The sequence below is a fragment of the Homo sapiens genome, chromosome 2 (genome assembly GCF_000001405.40).
Source record: "Homo sapiens chromosome 2, GRCh38.p14 Primary Assembly".
Lineage (NCBI taxonomy): Eukaryota > Metazoa > Chordata > Mammalia > Primates > Hominidae > Homo > Homo sapiens.
Window position 1 is genome coordinate 135,326,936 of NC_000002.12, and position 21,904 is coordinate 135,348,839.

A 21,904-nucleotide genomic window follows, 5' to 3' on the forward strand; every position below is an offset into this window, starting at 1 on the left:
TTACTCTTTAGAGACATATGTGAAACATTTTATAGATAAAATACAATCTCTAGGATTTCCTTCAAAATAATATGGAGTAGAAGAGGTAGATGGGAGCATAGCAAAAATAAAACTGGTCATGAGATAATCATTGTTGAAGCTGGGTAATGAGTACATGGGGGGTTCATTATACTATAGGATGTACTTTTGTATATGTTAATTTTTTCCATAATAAAATATTTAAAATATCAGGGAATAAACTAAGAAATAAAAGTCATGAAATCCAGGAATGTGAGGATCCAACAGAGCAGAATGGCCCAAGGAAATTCAGGGTGACAGCTTTCTGCCATGCCTAAAGAAAAATTGGTTTAGATTGGAGCATAACAGAAGGCTGTGGGAGGAAAATCTCCAGGAAAACGAAAAAAGATTATTTTATGTGCTTATAAGACATGTTGGAAGTTGACAGATTGGTTGGAGTCTTTCAGTGAAAAAGCAGCAATAGCTATATAGAAAACCAAACAGATGGGAAAAAAATGAATTATAAGGTAAACAAAAAGTTGACTAAGAAAGGAACAGTCAACTTCTTGATTTAGTAGAGAATAATATTAATTTATTTAGTCCATTAATTTAATATACTTAGTCAATAATATAAAACTGGACACTGAATTACCAAATAATTCAAATACTGGAAGGAGAACAGAAGAAAACGGGTGTCAAAGGGTGTTTATATTCTTGTTTTTTCACTGTTTAGTTATGTGATTTGACAAGTTACTTAACCGTTCCAAATACAGCTTAACCTTTCCAAATACAGCTTCCTCATCTATAAAATGGACATACTATCATCTGCCTTGTAGGATTGTTAAAGGAATTAAAGATAATACATCTAAAACACATGGCATAGTATCATATATAAAATATAATCATATAGCCAATAAAAATTATGTATTTTAGTTACTGATATCAAAAAATGTCCTAAGATAGTATTGTGATAAAGACATATTACAGAAAAGTGTGTACAATATGATCTTATTTATATAAAATTGCTTATCAATTCATCCTTCTTTATGTACTTAAGTAGAGAAGCTGTCTAGAGGGAAAGTTACGAAAGCACTTCAGTTGACTTTTAATTTTTTTTTTTAGTTAAAGCCAATTTTTATTATTATTATTATACTTTAAGTTCTAGGGTACATGTGCACAACATGCAGGTTTGTTACATAGGTTTACATGTGCCACGTTGGTTTGCTGCACCCATCAACTCGTCATTTACATTAGGTATTTCTCCTAATGCTATCCCTCCCCCAGGCCCCCACCCCCCAACAGGCCCCCATGTGTGATGTTCCCTGCCCTATGTCCAAGCATTCTCACTGTTCAATTCCCACATAAGAGTGAGAACATGTGGTGTTTGGTTTTCTGTCCTTGTGATAGTTTGAGAATGATGGTTTCCAGTTTCATCCACGTCGCTGCAAAGGACATGAACTCATCCTTTTTTATGGCTGCATAGCATTCCATGGTGTATATGTACCACATTTTCTTAATCCAGTCTATCATTGATGGACATTTGGTTTGGTTCCAACTCTTTGCTATTGTGAATAGTGCCACAATAAAGATACGTGTGCATGTGTCTTTATAGCAGCATGACTTATAATCCTTAGAGTATATATCCAGAAATGGGATCACTGGGTCAAATGGTATTTCTAGTTCTAGATCCTTGAGGAATCGCCACACTGTCTTCCACAATGGTTGAACTAGTTTACACTCCCACAAACACTGTAAAAACATTCCTATTTCTCCACGTCTTCTCCAGCATGTGTTGTTTCCTGACTTTTTAATGATTGCCATTCTAACTGGTGTGAGATGGTATCTCATTGTGGTTTTGATTTGCATTCCTCTGATGAGCAGTGATGATGAGCATTTTTTCATGTGTCTGTTGGCTGCGTAAGTGTCTTCTTTTGAGAAGTGTCTGTTCATATCCTTTGCCCACTTTTGGCTGGGGTTGATTTTTTCTTGGAAATTTGTTTAAGTTCTTTGCAGATTCTGGATATTAGCCCTTTTTCAGATGGGTAAATTGCAAAAATTTTCTCCCATTTTGTAGGTTGCCTGTTCACTCTGATGATAGTTTCTTTTGCAGTGCAGAAGCCCTTTAGTTTAATTAGATCCCATTTGTCTATTTTGGCTTTTGTTGCCATTGCTTTTGGTGTTTTAGTCATGAGGCCCTTGCCCATGCCTATATCCTGAATGATATTGCCTAGGTTTTCTTCTAGGGTTTTTATGGGTTTAGGTCTAACATGTAAGTCTTTAATCCATCTTGAATTAATTTTTGTATAAGGTGTAAAGAAGGGGTCCAGTTTCAGCTTTCTACACATGGCTAGCCAGTTTTTCGAGCATCATTTATTAAACAGGTAATCCTTTCCCCATATTTGTTTTTGTTGGGTTTGTCAAAGATCAGATGGTTGTAGATGTGTGGTGTTATTTCTGAGGCCTCTGTTCTGTTCTATTGCTCAATATATCTGTTTTGGTACCAGTACCATGCTGTTTTGGTTACTGTAGCCTTACAGCATAGTTTGAAGCCAGGTGGCATAATGCCTCCAGCTTTGTTCTTTTTGCTTAGGATTGTCTTGGCAATGCAGACTCTTTTTTGGTTCCATATGAACTTTAAAGTAGTTTTTTCCAATTCTGTGAAGAAAGTCATTGGTAGCGTGATGGGGATAGCATTGAATCTATAAACTACCTTGGGCAGTATGGCCATTTTCATGATATTGATTCTTCCTATCCATGAGCATGGAATGTTCTTCCATTTGTTTGTGTCCTCTTTTATTTCACTGAGCAGTGGTTTGTAGCTCTCTTTGAAGAGGTCCTTCACATCCTTTGTAAGTTGGATTCCTTTGTATTCTCTTTGTAACAATTGTGAATGGGAGTTCACTCATGATTTGGCTCTCTGTTTGTCTGTTTTTGGTGTATAGGAAGGCTTGTGATTTTTGCACATTGATTTTATATTGTGAGACTTTGCTGAAGTTGCTTATCAGCTTAAGGAGATTTTGGGCTGAGACAGTGGGGTTTTCTAAATATATAATCATGTCATCTGCAAACAGGGACAATTTGACTTCCTCTTTTCCTAACTGAATACCCTTTATTTCTTTCTCTTGCCTGATAGCCCTGGCCAGAACTTCCAACAATATGTTGAATAGGAGTGGTGAGAGAGTGCATCCTTGTCTTGTGCCAGTTTTCAGAGGTAATGCTTCCAGTTTTTACCCATTCAGTATGATATTGGCTGTGGATTGATCATAAATAGCTCTTATTATTTTGAGATGCATTCCATCAATACCTAGTTTAGTTACAGTTTTTGGCATGAAGGGCTGTTGAATTTTGTAGAAGGCCTTTTTGCATCTGTTGAGATAATCATGTGGCTTTTGTCATTGGTTCCGTTTATGTGATGGATTACATTTATTGATTTGCGTTATGTTGAACCAGGCTTGCATCCCAGGGATGAAGCTGACTTGATCGTGGTGGATAAGCTCTTTGATGTGCTGCTGGATTGTTTGCCAGTATTTTATTAAGGATTTTCGCATCGATGTTCATCAGGGATATTCATCTAAAATTCTGTTTTTTTGTCATGTCTCTGCTAGGCATTGGTATCAGGATGATGCTGGCCTCATAAAATGAGTTAGGGAGGATTCCCTCTTTTTCTATTGATTGGAATAGTTTCAGAAGGAATGGCACGAGCTCCTCTTTGTAATTCTGGTAGAATTCCCTGTGAATCTGTCTGGTCCTGGACTTTTTTTTGGTTAGCAGGCTATTTTTGCCTCAATTTCAGAGCCTGTTATTGGTCTATTCAGAGATTCAACTTCTTCCTGGTTTAGTCTTGGGAGGGTGTATGTGTCCAGGAATTTTTCCATTTCTTCTAGATTTTCTAGTTTATTTGTATAGAGGTGTTTATAGTATTCTCTGACGGTAGTTTGTATTTCCGTGGGATGAGTGATGATATCCCTTTTATCATTTTTTATTGCGTCTATTTGATTCTTCTCTCTTTTCTTCATTAGTCTTGCTAGTAGTCTATCAATTTTGTTGATCTTTTCAAAAAACCAGCTCCTGGATTCATTGATTTTTTGAATCATTGATTTTGGTTTTTTGTGTCTCTATCTCCTTCAGTTCTGCTCTGATATTAGTTAAACTATTTCCTGCCTTCTGCTAGCTTTTGAATGTGTTTGCTCTTGCTTCTCTAGTTCTTTTAACTGTGATATTAGGGTGTCGATTTTAGATCTTTCCTGCTTTCTCTTATGGGCATTTAGTGCTATAAATTTCCCTCTACACACTGCTTTAAATGTGTCCCAGAGATTCTGGTACGTTGTGCCTTTTTTCTCATTGGTTTCAAAGAACACCTTTATTTCTGCCTTCATTTCATTATTTACCCACTAGTCATTCAGGAGAAGACTGTTCAGTTTCCATGTAGTTGTGCAGTTTTGAGTGAGTTTCTTAATCTTGAGTTCTAATTTGATTGGACTGTGGTCTGAGAGACAGTTTGTTGTGATTTCTTTTACATTTGCTGAGGAGTGCTTTACTTCCAATTATGTGGTCAATATTAGAGTAAGTGTGATGTGGTGCTAAAAAGAATGTATATTCTGTTGATTTGGGGTGGAGAGTTCTGTAGATGTCTATTAGGTCTGCACTGTGTTCAAGTCCTGGATATCCTTGTTAATCTTCTGTGTCGCTGATCTGTCTAATATTGACAGTGGGGTGTTAAAAAGTCTCCCATTATTATTGTTTGGGAGTCTAGGTCTCTTTGTAGCTCTCTAAGGACTTGCTTTATGAATCTGGGTGCTCCTGTATTGGGTGCATATATATTTAGGATAGTTAGCTCTTCTTGTTGAATGGATCCCTTTACCATTATAGTAATGGTCTTCTTTGTCTCTTTTGATCTTTGTTGGTTTAAAGTCTGTTTTATCAGACACTAGGAGACTTTTACTTTTTTAAGAAAATGTTTTTTTCTATGTGTGGTTTGTTAAAAATAAGTATGAATAACTTTCCAAAATGAAATAAACTATCTTTAAATCAATAAAAGTAAAGGAAATGAAACAACTTATAAAGACAATGTTAATGCATGGGACAAGGCATTCCTAAGAGAAAATTAGCAGATGATAGCATTCATTACATGTAAGATAGATAAAACTTTGTAAAAATAATTAGATCTATAGACAAGAGTAGAAATAAAAAATGAAAACAGTTTACTTATTAGTATAGTAGAATTATGGTATTTTTCCTTTCCATTTTTATTGTTATAGTGCTTAATACATAAGTACATATATTTTAAAACTTCTTACTCATATTAAGCCAAAATCTACCTCCCTATTAAGTTCCACTGCTTGATACTAGTTTTGCTCTCTGAGGCCACAAAGACAGAAGTCTAATTCTTTTAGAACATGACAGATCTTTAAATATTTAAAAACCTGCTCCCCTTAGGGCTTCTCGTTTTCAAATTCCTGTAGGCTTCATAAGATCAAGTACTATGTCTTATTCATCTTTGTATTGCCGGCAGCTCTGAAATAATGTCTTAAATATAGTAGGCAATCAATAACATTAGACATTTTTGAACTGAATATGAGATTCCTCTCATTATTCTGGTCACCCTTTTCCAGATATGTTTTCATTTGTTAAAATGCTTCTTAAAACATGGCTTCTAGTTCCCTCTTAGTTCCTCACACTCATTGTCTTCAATGACCCTCTAAAACCTACTCCAACTATCCCTATGGTTACAACCAGGTCCTAAGAAACCGTTCTACCTGGTAAATTGAGACATTCTACTCTCTACTTACCCCATCCTTCGAAGGTGCTTGTTCATTCATACTCACTATGTCTTTACTATTGCATCAATACATTTCAGTCAACTGACTCCTCTAATTTCCAAATCCATTATATTTTTTCTGTCTTCACATCTTTCCTCAGCCCTGTTGATTTCTGAGTTCATACATTACCTTTGTTCTTATAAATATAGTTTAAGTTCCCTTGTCCCACAGTCCATGCATCATAAGCTGTTGAAAAAATCCAATCTTGAATGGATCCAACCTCAGGATCAAAAAGGCCTGAAGCCTTTTCCATGCCTGTATCCAGGCTGCTGGGTGTGGCTGGAGAAATTGTACCTTAGAGAAAACTGGTTCCATTACAAATCTGCAGTTGCTGATCTCAAATGATTACTAGAGCTGTTAACAATCCTACCACACTAATCTCATTCTCATTTGGTAAAATTTCAAACCACATCAACTTTCATGAAACCTTTAACCCTCTATTTTTCCATTTCTCTGAACCTATGATTGTCCTTCCCATTCCACAGAGAAAATATAAACTGTACAAGGCAAACTCTCAACTTCCTGCCATCCCCGAAAGTACAGTATATTTCCAATGATACAATGACATGCAACCATAATGTATACCATTTATGTATATGAAAAAAAGACAAAAAGGGAAAGTACAAAACAATGTTTATGCTTATATTACAATCTTTTTAAAACAATGAATTTGCCTGAATATGCACACAGTTTCTGAGGGAAGATTAAAAACTACATACAGTCGCCTATAGGGAGAACTTAGGTAAAAGGGATTTTTCAATGTGTATACTCTTCCATAGGTTAGAATTTTGAACCATGTGAAATATCTTAGATAATAAATCAAATCTATAAATCTAATGATGTTTGTTTCATGCTCTAAGTTTTACATTATAGGGACTAGGGGAGGCGGAAATGGGGTCAATTATTTAATGGGTACAGAGTTTCAATCTGTAATGATGAAAAAGTTCTGATGATGAAAAGTGGTAATGGTTGCACAACAACAGAATGTACTGAAACACATTAGAATGTATTGAAAGTCACTGAATTGCACATTTAAAAATGTTTAAATGGTAAATTTTGTTGTACATATTTTACTGCAATTGAAAAACCTAAAACATATACAGGCAACTGTATCTACTGAACTGTACATTTAAAAATACTTAAATGGTAAATTTTGTTATGCATATTTTACTGCAATTAAAAAACTACAATACTGATAACTAAAAACCAAACTACCCTGCAATGTCTTCTTATTGCCATTATGATGAAGAACAAGACTCTGTATATTATCCCTACCTAACTCCGTCACTATCTTGAAACTCTCTTCTTTTAGTTCTAGAATATTCAACTAGGTTAGTATTTGACTTGAAAACTCAGTGAAGGCTGGACTATGTGGGTCTTGTTCTCTAATGCATATCTGATGGCTACTACATGGCTTAGCATGTAAGAGGCATCCTAAAATACTTTCAGAATGAATGGATAAATTCAAAATTAAACTGTACTCTAAATGCAGTCTAATCAATGAATGGAGTAGAAGCACCCCTTACTCCAATTTAGCCTAAGGTTATTCAAAACCACAAATCTTTTAGAACTGAACTATTGATAAATAGGTGAGGGTTTCTCAAATCCCTTCCACACAAAGCTGACTTTCTAAGTCTCAATGCAGAATACATATTCTATTAATATTTATCTAATTATTTTTCAAACATATCTCTGCCATCCACTATATTAACTATTTCTCTCAGATTCGAACCATTTGCCAATGGAATAGACACAACCTCTATTCAGCCATGGGTGAGAACATTAAATGCAACAATGCTGAGGACAAAGGAGGGACAGTGCAATTCCATGAGAGACATTTTTTTTTAATTTAATTTAATTTAGGCCAGTCGCGGTAGCTCACGTCTATAATCCCAGCACTCTGGGAGGCCGAGGCAGGTGGATCACGAGGTCAGGAGATCGAGACCATCCTGGCTAACATGGTGAAACCCCGTCTCTACTAAAAATACAAAAATTTAGCCAGGCATGGTGGCGCGCGCCTGTAGTCCCAGCTACTTAGGAGGCTGAGGCAAGAGAATCGGTTGAACCTGGGAGGCGGAGGTTGCAGTGTGCTGAGATCGCACCACTGCACTCCAGCCTGGGCGACAGAGCAAGACTCCATCTCAAAAATAAATATATTTTAAAAATAAAAATAAAAATAATTTAATTTAATTTTAAGTTCCAGGATACATATGCAGGATGTGCAGTTTGTTACACAGGTAAATGAGTGCCATGTGGTTTGCTGTACCTATCAACCCATCACCTAGGTATTAAGCCCCGTATGCATTAGCTATTTATCCTGATGCTCTCCCTTGAGACATTTCTTGAAGCTGACAATGACCCATTAATTAACAATCTTTAGGTATGTCTATAAATACTTTTAATTTGTATTATCATGCAGCATTTTTCCTCTCATAAAAATTTAGACAACGAATTCTCCTTAGAGGTGGAAATGGTACAAAATATCAATGACAAATAACATTTTAAAAATTGATGAATTATTGTCAAGATATTCTAGACACTATTCTGGGTGACACAGAATAGTGTCTAGAATATCTTAACAGTAATTCAAACATAACATTACATTAACATAGTAATTCAACAGTAATTCAAACATAACATTAACACACCATTGGAAGAGGCTGGGCGCTGTGCCTCATGCCTGTAAATCCTAGCATTTTGGGAAGCTGAGGTGGGCAGATGGCTTGAGGTCTGGAGTTCGACAACAGCTTGGCCAACATGGTGAAACCCTGTTTCCACTAAAAATACAAAAATTTGCCTGGTGTGGTGACACATGCCTGCAGTCCCACCTATTTGCGAGGCTGAGGCAGGACAATCTCTTGAACCAGGGAAGCGGAGGTTGCAGTGAGCAGAGATTGCACCACTGCACTCCAACCCAGGCAAAAGAGCAAGACTCTGTCTCAAACAAAACAAAACAAAACAAAACAAAACAACAAAAACAAAAACATAATATTAGGGACGACCAATATGTCTTCTCACAGCATACTTTTTGAAGACAGCTGCTGGTAACAGGATGCTTGGCTGGGTTATCTATGTGTTCTCTTTTTCTATGTAAAAGAATATTTATTAAAGTTGCCATTCCCTAAGTTTTCATTACTTCCAGGGGGAAAAAAAAACAACATAAAAGGAAGTGAGATAGAGCAAGCCATTTAAACTCACCAAGTGCTTATAAAATGACAGAGGGGAACTGGGTGATCTCCAAAGTCTTTTAGCTTTAACAATTGATCATTCAATGTGCTAATGGTTGACAACTGAGTATGTTGCCTTCTCCAAATCATATTTGTATTTATAGTTTCTTCTAAATATAACCCTGTGAAGTGAATGATGTAAGGCATTTTGGATAAGAGATGTTCTGGTTGAGTAATACTTCTGCTGTCTGTCTCAAGTCAAACCAGGTAGCTGGTTACCTATACCCTAACTTCTCATCCCTGAACTACATTTGCATTAGTACATTTCTGTTTGTCATTACTTAGGTATTTAATACACTTTATAAAAGCAAAATTATATTTTTGCTGAAGCTTCACTTAACTTATTTTGAATACAGTCATGACATTTCAAATATAAAATATGGGTCTAGAACTGAATAACTAACCAAAATTTGCATTCTGCAAAATTATAGTGTGAAAATGACACCTTCACAGAATCAAAACATTATGGAAAAATATATAGCACTCCACAGACTAACTTAAAATGCCAGGAAGTGACTTGAGCTGAGTTAGAGTCTATGGAACCATAGTGCTTTCAAGGTAAAGAAGTAAAGGAATAACATAAAACTTCTGAAATGGAACCTGAAAGAAAATGCCTTTTGAGAAGCATGATATTAATCTTGAAATGGCTTTCTCCAGAAAACAGAACATGTCCTCCACAATCATAAAGCATTTCACAGAGATGAATTTTTTTATGAAACAGGGTAGGCATTAAGTAAGAAAGAGACAGGTATACTCTCTCTTTCTGTTGTCATATGACAAGTTCTAGTCAGGAAACAAAAAAAGAAATGCTTATTGACCACGTGGGTTGTTCCAGACTCCAAAAGATAAATGCAGGTAAGTATGTTTGTTTTATGTGGGCAAATTTTAGGCATTTACAGTCTGCAACAATTACAATTAAGGGCTTCCCACCAATACCTAGCATCATGAAAAAAAAAGACCTATGATAGGAACAAAATGAATATTTAGAAATGACATGCCAGGAACCATGGTTTTTGGCTATAAGGAACTGAAACTCTGAATCAAGATTGTTTAATAAAAAAAGAAACGTTTTACAACATGAATAAAAGGAATTCAGAGTCCAGGAAGGCTCCTGGATTGGTCAACTCTTGTATTCCTTGCACCTTGTCACTGTGCCATTAAAAAGCTTGCCTAATCTAAACCCGATACCCACCATGGTCAGAAGACAGCTACCAGAAGTAGGTAGGACAACATGCTTCTTTGTTCATATTCAGCTTAAGATGCTTATCTTGTCCTCCATCCTGGAAATAAAGCCTTTCTTCAGCATGCTTGGCACAAGACCAACCCTAGACCGTTAACAGTTGTCTGAAGAATACTATGTGTTAACTGGCTTAGAATGACCAGAATCCATCAGGGAAAAAGGATACAAAGTCAACTTCCCCAGAGTGCTATAGATATGTATATATAACTGAAGTAAATCAGAAACCTGCTTGGAAGGAAGACGGGGTAGACAACTAACAGTGTTAACTACATTTGCTGCTGTTGATTTCCTAGTGGAGGGAAGGGATATTAATTTGTGGCACTGTAGCAAAATCATTATAGTCATTTCCATGCACTGTTAAAAAAAATCACTTGGTAAAGACTAAAGAGTTATTACTTTGGTCAAACTAGCATCTAAATGGATTTATAGTTTAATCAAAACTGATGTTAGCAAATTAATTATGCCCCCAGTTACCAGAAAAACAACTAAGAACTGTGTCACAGAACTCTCTCAGTCCAAGTCACAAAACTATATTAAATTAAAATTCTTAATAGAAAGTAGCCAAATTATACTAGTTTTTCCATTTTTTTCTTTTATACAGAAGTAGTAAAATAAATGTAACAGTGTCAGTTACGTAAGTACTCCTCTTAGTATTTCACTTAATATAAGAAGAATCCCTGTTTTGCTCATGATTTTTAAAGTCAATATGAAGAAACAAAACTTTGAGCTGGGAAAGATTATCCAAATCACTTAGTTCAGCCATTTTATTCCAGAAGCTCCAAATCTAAAGTATAAGAAATGCTTCTCCAAGATGACTGTGCTGCGTATTTTTTAATACTATGTCAATTTTCAGAGCAATTTTAAGTTATATCTGAGTAACCCCATTAGTTTGACAACATCTGTGAATTTAGCAGATGAATGATGTTATTCATGTCAAGAAGTTACATGGATCTAGCATACAAAAAAAACCCAGATCCAGTATTCAATAATTCAATAAACATTGGATATCATGTGCCAGGTGCCGTGTTAGCCATTGGGAATAGAATACTGGAAAAAACAAGTGTTCTGCCCTCAAAGAGCTTCTAGCTAGTAACTCACTCCAATGAGGAATACAATGCAGGTCAAGTTCCCTATCAATCTGATCACTTGCCACTGCAAACTGGTCTCTTCTTATAAATCTCCAGCCAGCTGGGTAATCACACTATGCTGAACAGTTAAACTAACAGCATGCAAAGTGGACACCACAGTGCCGCGTGGCTTCTATAGAGAAGTCTCAGAGACTGTCAGTTGGGTCAGGGGCATCAGAGGCTACCATGTTGACAATTTCAAGACATCCAGGGAAAATCAGTGCGTGTGTTTTACACATATACATTTTAAAAAATACAAAAGATAACACAATTTTCTGTAATTTCCTTTTCTTTCAACACTGTATCTTGGAAATGAGTTGCATCAAGATTACACAGTATTCCACTGTATGGAGGTACAATAATTTACAGTAAGTTCTCTACAACTAGTTGTTATCCAATCATGTATTATTTACTAAACACGCAATTTCAATTTTGCATACATGTGCATATGTGTGTATGTGTATATCTATATGTTGTGTATTTAATAAATATGTGAATAACACATGTATAAGAACACACATGAACAATTACATACAATAGTATATATGAACAAGTGTAAGATAAACTTATATTTTAATTGCTAGAATAAATGTATGGGCTTTTCAATGTTTGGTAGGTATAGTGAAATTTCTATCAATAGATGGTATAGGCCAGGCAGGGTGGCTCATGACTGTAATTCCAGCACTTAAGGATGCTGAAGTGGGAGGATCGCTGAAGCCCAGAGTTCCAGACAAGGCTGGGCAACATACTGACACCCCGTATCTACAAAAAAAAATTTTTTAATTGCCAGGTGTGGTGGCTCATGCCTGTAATCCCAGCACTTTGGGAGGCCAGGGTGGGCGGAACACCTCAGGTCAGGAGTTCGAGAACAGCTTCACCAATGTGGTAAAACCCGTCTCTACTAAAAATACAAAAATTAGCTGGGTGTGGTGGTGCATGCCTGTAATCCCAGCTACTTGGGAGGCTGAGGCAGGAGAATCGCTTGAACCCGGGAGGCAGAGGTTGCAGTGAGCGTGCCACTGCACTCCAGCCTGGGTGACACAGCAAGACTCCATCTGAAAAAAAAAACAACAAAAAAAACAAAGAATTAGCCAGACATGGTAGTGCATCCCTGTAGTCCCAGCTACTAGGGAGACTGAGGTGGGAGGATCACCTGAGCCAAGGCAGTTGAGGCTACACTGAGCCATGATTGTGCCACTGCACTCCAACCTGGGTGACAAAGCAAGACCCTGTCTCAAAAAAAACCCAAAACAGATGGTATAGCCATAACATTCCTTTCAACAATGTAAGACAGTTTGTTTCTTCATATGCTCATGATATACTGTTTTGTTAAATGTTATAATTTTTATAACTGTAATAGGTAAAACTTTGTCTTACTGTAGTTTCAATTTAAATTCCTCTTATCAATTAGATTTATGCAGTTAAAACCTATTTGTATTTCCTTTTCTATCAATTATTTGTTTACATTTTTTGCACATCTTTCTCAGTCGCTGAAATTAGCCTTCTCTTTAATTCGCAACACATAAATAATTTTTCCTTAATTAGAAATTTTTTACTTTATAGATATTTTCTAGAAGGGTGACACCTTTTAAATTCTTACACAATCAAATATATTCCTTTTTATGACTTCCCTAAAACAAAGTTATAAAAGAATTCCTCTATGTTTTATTTAGGGTTTTATTTAATAATGTTTAAATATTTTATTCATCTGGAATTTATTGTTGTGTAAGAAGAAGGGAAAGAATCCCTGTCCCTTTTCTTTTTTTTTTTTTTTTTTAAGACAGAGTCTTGCTCTTGTCGCCCAGGCTGGAGGGCAATGGCGCGATCTCGGCTCACTACAACCTCCGCCTCCTCAGTTCTAGTGATTCTCCTGCCTCAGCCTCCTGAGTAGCTGGGATTACAGGTGCCCGCCACCACGCCCAGCTAATTTTTGTATTTTTATTAGAGATGGGGTTTCACCATGTTGGCCAAACTGGTCTCGAACTCCTGACCTCAGGTGATCTACCTGGCTTGGCCTCTCAAAGTGCTAGGATTACAGGCGTTAGCTACTGCGCCCAACCCCCTTTTTTTAATACTCTAGTTTTTCATAACTTTCTTGGCAATTGTTGCTTATTTATTTTTTCAAATAACATTTAGAATCAATTTTCTGGATCTACAAGAAAAATATTCTTATTTGAATATATTATATCTACCTAAGTTCAGAAAAAAGTAAAATCTTGGCCGGGTGAGGTGGCTCACACCTGTAATCCCAGCAACTTGGGAGGCTAAGGCAGGCAGATCATGAGGTCAGGAGTTCAAGACCAGCCTGGCCAACATGGGGAAACCATGTATTTTTTGTATTTTGTAAAAATACAAAAATTAGCCGGGTGTGGTGGCGGCACGCGCCTGTAATCTCAGCTACTCGGGAGGCTGAGGCAGGAGAATTGCTTGAACCTAGGAGGTGGAGGTTGCAATGAGCCAAGACCGCACCATTGCACCCCAGGCTGGTCAACAGAGTGAGATTCCGTCTCAAAAAAAACAGTAAAATCTTTATAATACCAAGTCTTTTCATCAAACAGGAGTATGTCTTTTTATTTATCTTTTTATATGTCCTTTAGTAATATTCTTGAGTCTTATATCTTTTATCTTCATTGTATTTTAGAAATATTATTTGTGTAGAGAAAGACAACTGACTATTTATTGATTGATTGATTGATTTTGAGATGGAGTCTTGCTCTGCTGCCCAGGCTGGAGTGCAGTGGCGCTATCTCGGCTCACTGAAAGCTCCACCTCCCGGGTTCACGCCACTCTCCTGCCTCAGAGTAGCTGGGACTACAGGTGCCCGCCACCACACCTGGCTAATTTTTTTTCTTGTTGTTTCTTTTAGTAGAGACGGGGTTTCATCATGTTAGCCAGGATGGTCTCGATCTCTGGATCTCGTGATCTGTTGCGGGAAGTCAGGGACCCCAAACAGAGGGACTGGCTGAAGCCACAGCAGAAGAACATAAATTGTGAAGACTTCATGGACATGTATCACTTCCCCAATCAATACTCTTATAATTTCCTATCCTTGTGTTTACTTTAATCTCTTAATCCCATCATCTTTGTAAACTGAGGATGCATGTCACGTCAGGATCCTGTGATGATTGCATTATCTGCACAAATTGTTTGTAGAGCATGTGTGTTTGAACAATATGAAATCTGGGCACCTTGAAAAAAGAACAGGGTAACAGCGATGTTCAGGGAACAAGGGAGATAACCATTAGGTCTGACTGCTTGGGAGCCAGGCAGGACAGAACTGTATTTCTCTTATTGCTGAAAACGGGTAAGAGAAATATCGCTGAATTCTTTCCCCAGTAAGGAATATTAATAATTAACAGCCCTGGGAAAATAATGCATTCCCAGGGCAGGGCGGGGGGCCTCTAAAATGGCCGCTCTGGGAGTGTCTGCCTTATGCAGTTGTAGATAGGGATGAAACACGCCCTGGTCTCCTGCAGCGCCCCCAGGCTTACTAGGATTAGGAGATTCCAGCCTGGCAAATTCTAGTCAGACTGGTTCTCTGCTCTTGAACCCTGTTAAGATGTTTATCAAAGATAATGGGTGCACAGTGGGACATGAACTTAATCAGCAATTCTAGTTTCACCCTGGCCTTATGACCTTGCCCTACCCATTTGCCTTGTGATATTTTATTGCCCTTGAAGCATGTGATCTCTGTGACCCACAGCCTATTCGTACACTCCCTACCTTTTGAAAATCGCTAATAAAAACTTGCTGGTTTTACGGCTCAGGGGGCATCACAGAACCTGCCAACATGTGATGTCTCCCCCGGACACCCAGCTTTAAAATTTCTCTCTTTTGTACTCTTTCCCTTTATTTCTCAGACCAGCCAACACTTAGGGAAAATAGAAAAGAACCTACATTGAAATATTGGGGGCCGGTTCCCCCAATAGTGATCTGCCCACCTCGGCCTCCCAAAGTGCTGGGATTATAGGCGTGAGCCACCACGCCTGGCCGACAACTGACTTTTTAATAGTAACTTTGTGCTAGGATATCTTAATCTATTCTTCTTTTGAACATGTTTCAGCTGATTCTCAGTCTTCCAAATAAATAACATCAGCTGTAAATAATGATAACTTTTTCTTTCTTGAAAATGTTTACCTCTTTTAATAGAGATGGGGTCTTACTATGTTGCCTAGGCTAGTGTCAAACTCCTGGGCTCAAGTGACTGTCCTACCTTGGCCTTCCAAAGTGCTGGGATTACAGGTGTGAGTCACTGTGCCCGTCTTTTTTCTTTTTTTTTAAGTAAAAAAATTTTTTCCTGACAAAATTAGCCTCATATCCTCTTATTGTTCTTTTGAGTAATTGAATTATCAGTTCTCCAGAGTACAGGTAAGCTGTGGTAATAGTGAACATCCTTTTCTGGATTTTAGTGTTTCATGTGGTAGTGCTTTGGGATTGAAAGACACCCATAAACATATATACACTTATATATATGTAAAGACACACATATACATATATACCCTAAATTTATTAAAAACTGTAATCAAGGGTAAATGTTGGCTGGGCATGGTAGCTCACACCTGTAATCCCAGCACTTTGGGAGGCTGAGGCAGGTGGATCACCTGAGGTCAGGAATTCAAGACCAGCCTGGCCAATATGGCGAAACCCTGTCTCTACTAAAAATCCAAAAAAAAAAAAAAAAAAAAAAAAACATTAGCAGGGCATGGCAGCACACGGCTGTAGTCCCAGCTACTTGGAGGCTGAGGCAGGAGAACTGCTTGAACCCGGGAGGCAGAGGTTGCGGTGAGCCGTGACTGTGCCACTGCACTCCAGACTGGGCAACAGAGTGAGACTCTGTCTCCAAAAAAAAAAAAAAAAAAACAGGGAGGGTAAATGCTATATTTTACCTAAGGACTTCCAGCACATATAGAGATGATGAGGTTTCTCTTTGTCATTATTAATATGGTGAATTATATTTATGTCTTTCTTAATATTCAACTTTCCTTGAATTCCTAATGTGAATGCCATTTGCATATAATCAATATATTAGGTTTTTAATGAGTTTCTGGATTTCATTAATCTATTAATATTGAGGATTTCTGCATTTGTAGTCTCGTTTTCATTTTTTGTGCTATCTTGTCTGATTTTGGTATTAAGTGTTAGACTGACTTCATAGAAACAATTTAGAAGAATTCTATCTTTGTACTTTGGAGCCCTTTAAAAAGCATCAGAAAACCATGACCATGTGGTGTTATTTAAAGGAATTATAAAAAAAAAATGCATTGGGAAACAAAACATGAGAGACTCATATCACATATAAAGAGATTATTTTTGTAATATATGAAGATTTTCAGCATATCAAGAAAAAAGCCAATACATTTAGTAGACAGAAGGGCAAACAGCACACATAGACAACTGACAGAAAAAAAGTACAAATTACTCATATGTGTGAAAAAATAATGCTCAAATGCATTTAATGACATAATGGGCAAATGTCACAAGCTACTATCAGTTCACATTGGCAAGAATAAAATAATTCACATTTCACTATGTTTGAAAAGTATGGAAAAAGAAACAATCTGACACTAAGCTGGTGGAAATATAAAAAGCTATACCTTCCGTGGAGTATGATTTGGAAAAATCTAATAATATAAAAATGCACATGCCCTTTAAACTAGCAATTTCACTTCTATAACTTTATCTTAGATTTTTCCCCTATGCATATGGCATGAAATACTAAAATAGCTAACAATTATCAAGTACTCCCTATGTATGGTCACTGTTCAAGCACTTTAGAAATATTAGTTAATATAAGTCTTATAATAACTCTCCAAGGCAGGCATAATAATTTGCCATTTTTTTTGAGCTGAAGAAACTGAGGTATGAGGAGATAAAGTTACTTTTCTAAAATGAAGCGTTCGGCAATAGCAGACGTGAAAATAAAACACAGGTGGTCTAGCTCTAAATTTCCATGCTCTTCAGAACTATAAAATACTACCTCTCAACATGTGCAAAGATATTCATTGCTGCATTGTATGCACAGCTATATACTACAAACGTCCAATAAGAGTAGACTGCATAAATAAATTCTAAACAGTAGAATAGATACAGCATTTAAAATGAATAACAGGCTGGGCGTGGTGGCTCAAGCCTGTAATCCCAGCACTTCGGGAGGTCAAGGCAGGCAAATCACCTGAGGTCAGGAGTTTGAGACCAGCCTGGCCAACATGGTGAAACCCCATCTCTAGTAAAAATAACAAAAATTAGCCGGGCATGGTTGCGCATGCCTGTAATCTCAGCTACTCAGGAGGCTGAGGCAGGAGAATTGCTTGAACATCGGAAGCGGAGGTTGCAGTGAGCCGAGATTGTACCACTGCACTCCATCCAGCCTGGGTAACGGAGCGAGACTCCGTCTGAAAAAAATATGATAAAATAAAATAAAATGAATATCAAAGCTCTTTGAGTAACTGATATGGAAAGATCTACAATACATACTAGACGAAGAAAGCAAACTGCAGAATAATGCACAAATTGTGCTATATATGTTGAAATAAAATGAAATAATATTATACACATGTAATCATACATGCTTGTTCACCCAAAGGGTATCTTCAGAAGGATACACAATAAAGTGCCAACACTGCTTACATGGGAAGGGAAATGGTTTGCTGAGAGACAAGAGTGGAAGAAACACTTAGTTTTTACTTTTGTATAATTTACATGTAAATCTAGCCAATAAAAATAAATAATTTCAAAAATAAAAAGTAGAAAGTAAAAAATAAAAACAAAGGAAAACTTTGCCATTATCTATTACTTTTATTTATTTTACATATAGGTCATCCACCTATATGTATAATAGTCCACCAATTATTTCATAGCTACCACAAATTTGTAAAACACTGGAATAAAGAATGATTAATAACCTGAGGTCAGGAGTTCAAGACCAGCCTGACCAACATGGTGAAACCCCATCTCTATTAAAAATACAAAAAAATTAGCCGGGCATGGTGGCGCATGCCTGTAATCCCAGCTACTCAGGAGGCTAAGGCAGAAGAATCGATTGAACCCAGGAGGCAGAGATTGTAGTGAGCCATGATGGTGCCACTGCAGTCCAGCCTGGGCGATGGGAGTGAGACTCTGTCTCAAAAAAAAAAAGAATGATTAATAAAGCAATGTTCACAGTAAACATGTGAGGAAAAAATTTACGGAAAATAGTTTAACTTACCTGATGTGTGCATTACAGTATCTTTTTGCATAGTCGGTCCATCTTCCAAATTTTTGTGGAAAGAGAGCTTCAATCTGCATAAAAAGCTATAATAATACAAGTGTTTGTAGTATGTTGTAATATTTTCAAGTAAATTATTATTACAATGATAAAACCATTTAACAAAATAGTAGGAAGTATAAAAGAAAATCCAACTGTTTATTCCTCAAATCCCCTCACTACTATTCATCAGGGATAACCGTTATCTGTTGTATAAATATACATTTATACATCTTTCTATGTTGATATAAGCATATGTTTATGCTTTTATTCACATAAGGAGGATCATATCATATATATTGTTACACTAGAATTTTGTCCCATAAAACATGTCTCAGACACTTAAATTACACGTGTCTATTTTTAGTTTTAAAACCTTATATAGACAATAAAATAATAATGCACTGCTTAAAAACTGAATAGCAACCCATTATGATGTAGATGTACTGTAAAAGATTTAAACAGACTCGTGATATTGGACATATAGGCTATTTCTAGCTTTTGTTTTGTTTTGTTTTTTGTTTTTGAGACGGAGTCTCGCTCTGTCGCCCAGGCTGGAGTGCAGTGGCGTGATCTTGGCTCACTGCAAGCTCCGCCTCCAGAGTTCACGCCATTCTCTCGCCTCAGCCTCCCGAGTAGCTTGGAGTACAGACGCCCACCACCATGCCCGGCTAATTTTGTTTTTGTATTTTTAGTAGAGACGGGGTTTCACCTTGTTAGCCAGGATGGTCTCGATCTTCTGACCTCATGATCCACCCGCCTTGGCCTCCCAAAGTGCTGGAATTACAGGCATGAGCCACCACGCCCAGCCTATTTCTAGCTTTTATGAAGTTACTAATATTAACAACTTCATATAACTGTGTGTGTATATATATATGAATATATAGGTATAGTACATATATTTATATCTGTATCTATTAATCATCTATCTATCCATCCATCCATCCATTCATTCATCCATCCATTTGCATTTCTATTAGAGGTGATGTAGGATTATATTTAGAAATGGAATAGCTGATTCTAAGGTACATGCTGTTTTAAAGTTTGATAATGTTACCATGTTGCCCAGTAAGAAGATTATCCCAATTTACACTCCCATCAATAGTATCATGAAATCTTTTCATTTTTACAGCTCTGATAGGCTACACACAGGACTGTCTCACTGTTATTTTAATATATTTTTAAAAACCAACAGCTTTATTGTGACATGTAATTCATATACTATTCAAACTTTGAAAGAACATAATTCAGTGGCTTTCAATAGATTCACATAGTTGTGCATCAATCATGACTAATTCTATAATATTTTTATCACCCCCCAAAAAACCTCCACACCCATTAGTAGTCACTGCCTATTTCTCCTCTCTTCCAATCCTGCCAACTACTAACCCACTTTCTGTTTCTATGAATTTGCCTATTCTGGGCATTTCATATAAATAGAATTATACAATATGTAGCCTTTTGTATCTGGTTTATTTCACCCAGCATAGTGCTTTCAAAGTTAATTCATGTTGTAACACATATAGTATTTTCATTCCTCTTTAGGTCCAAATAATTCCATTGTACGGCTATATCACATTTGTTTATACATTCGTCAACTGATGGGCATTTTACTTGTTTCCACTTTTTGAATATCATGAATAATGCTACTATGTAACTATACACATGAGTATATAATTTTTGGTGAGAATTTGTTTTCAGTTCTCTTTTTTTTTTTTTTTTGAGACGGAGTCTCGCTCTGTCGCCCAGGCTGGAGTGCAGTGGTGCGATCTCGGCTCACTGCAAGCTCCGCCTCCTGGGTTCACACCATTCTCTTGCCTCAGCCTCCCGAGCAGCTGGGACTACAGGCGCCCACCACCGCGCCCGGCTAATTTTTTTGTATTTTTTCGTAGAGACTGGGTTTCACCTTGGTCTTGATCTCCTGACCTCGTGATCTGCCCGCCTCAGCCTCCCAAAGTGCTGGGATCACAGGCGTGAGCCATTGCTCCCGGCCTGTTTTCAGTTCTCTTGGGTATATACCTAAGAATAAAATCGCTGGGTCATACAGTAACATTTTAAGTAACTCCTAAATTTTTCTAAAGTGACTTCAGTGCTTTATATCCATTTAATATGACAACATATTCAGAAATAACCAATGGGCCAAAGAAGAAATCACAAAGGAAATTAGAGAACATTTTGAGATAAAGGAAATTGAGAACACAACATACCAAAACATGAGTTGCAGCAAAAATAGTGCTTAGAGGAAAATTAATAGTTGCATATGACTATGTTAAACAAGAAGAACTCAAATCAATAACCTAATTTTTCACCTTAACACACTGGAAAAGTAAGAGCAAACAACCCACAGCAAATAGAAGGAAGGTCACAATAAAGATAAGAGTGGAAATAGACTGGGTGTGGTGGCTCAAAACTGTAATCCCAGCACTTTAGGAGGCTAAGACGAGCAGATCACTTGAGGCCAGGAGTTTGAGACCAGCCTGGCCAACATGGTAAAATCCCGTCTCTACTCAAAATACAAAAATGTGCCGGGTGTGGTGGCATGCGCCTGCAATCCCAGCTACTCGGGAGGCTGAGGCAGAAGAATTGCTTGAACCTGGGAGGTAGAAGTTGCTGTGAGCCGAGATCATGCCACTGCACTCCAGCCTGGGCAACAGAGTGAGACTCTGTCTCAAAAAAAAAAAAGAAAAGAAAAGAAAGAAAGAAAAAATTAGAGAACTCACACTTCCTAATTTCAAAACTCCAAACTTAGAATTTCTAATTTTATATTCTTTTTCTTAGAAAAAAATCCCAAACACAAATTATACAATCATCAGGACCCACAAAATTGGTATTTACCCTTGCTTTGAATAGTGGCTACCACAGGTGAAGAGTGAAAAGTACTGACATGTCATCAGAGTAGGATGTAAGAGCCACTGTTGTACTGTTAATGTTCTATTTCTTATGCTCGATTATAAGTAGATGAGTATTCATTTTATTATTGTCATTTGAAATGTATGTATCTTTTGTATACTCTCTTTTATTTTTGAGACAGAGTCTCACTCTGTCACCCAGACTGGAGTGCAATGGTGAGATCTCAGCTCACTGCAACCTCTGCCTCCTGGGTTCAAGTGATTTTCCTGCCTCAGCCTCCCGGGTAGCTAAACTACAGGCACAGGCCACCATGCCCAGCTAATTTTTGTGTTTTTAGTAAAGATGGGGTTTCACCATGTTGGCCAGGCTGGTCTTGAACTCCTGGCCTCAAGTGATCCACT

At 37.2% G+C, this 21,904-nt stretch overlaps 1 protein-coding gene across 3 annotated transcripts in view, besides 1 other annotated feature; it reads right to left on the minus strand.

Moving 5' to 3' along the window:
* The window catches only part of ZRANB3 (zinc finger RANBP2-type containing 3), a 334,250-nt gene that overhangs the window by 129,967 nt on the left and 182,379 nt on the right, over positions 1-21,904 (minus strand). For all 3 annotated transcript variants that reach the window (NM_032143.4, NM_001286569.1, NM_001286568.2), the window contains exon 6: positions 18,615-18,700. In NM_032143.4, coding sequence (NP_115519.2) covers positions 18,615-18,700 — 86 coding nt within the window. The remainder of the gene's footprint in view (positions 1-18,614; positions 18,701-21,904) is intronic.
* Positions 10,271-10,471: a silencer, noted in NCBI's record as "peak3875 fragment used in MPRA reporter construct". NCBI's record gives its function as "represses an SCP1 promoter by STARR-seq MPRAs in K562 erythroleukemia cells {active_cell/tissue: K562}" and the evidence as "EXISTENCE:reporter gene assay evidence [ECO:0000049][PMID:32103011]".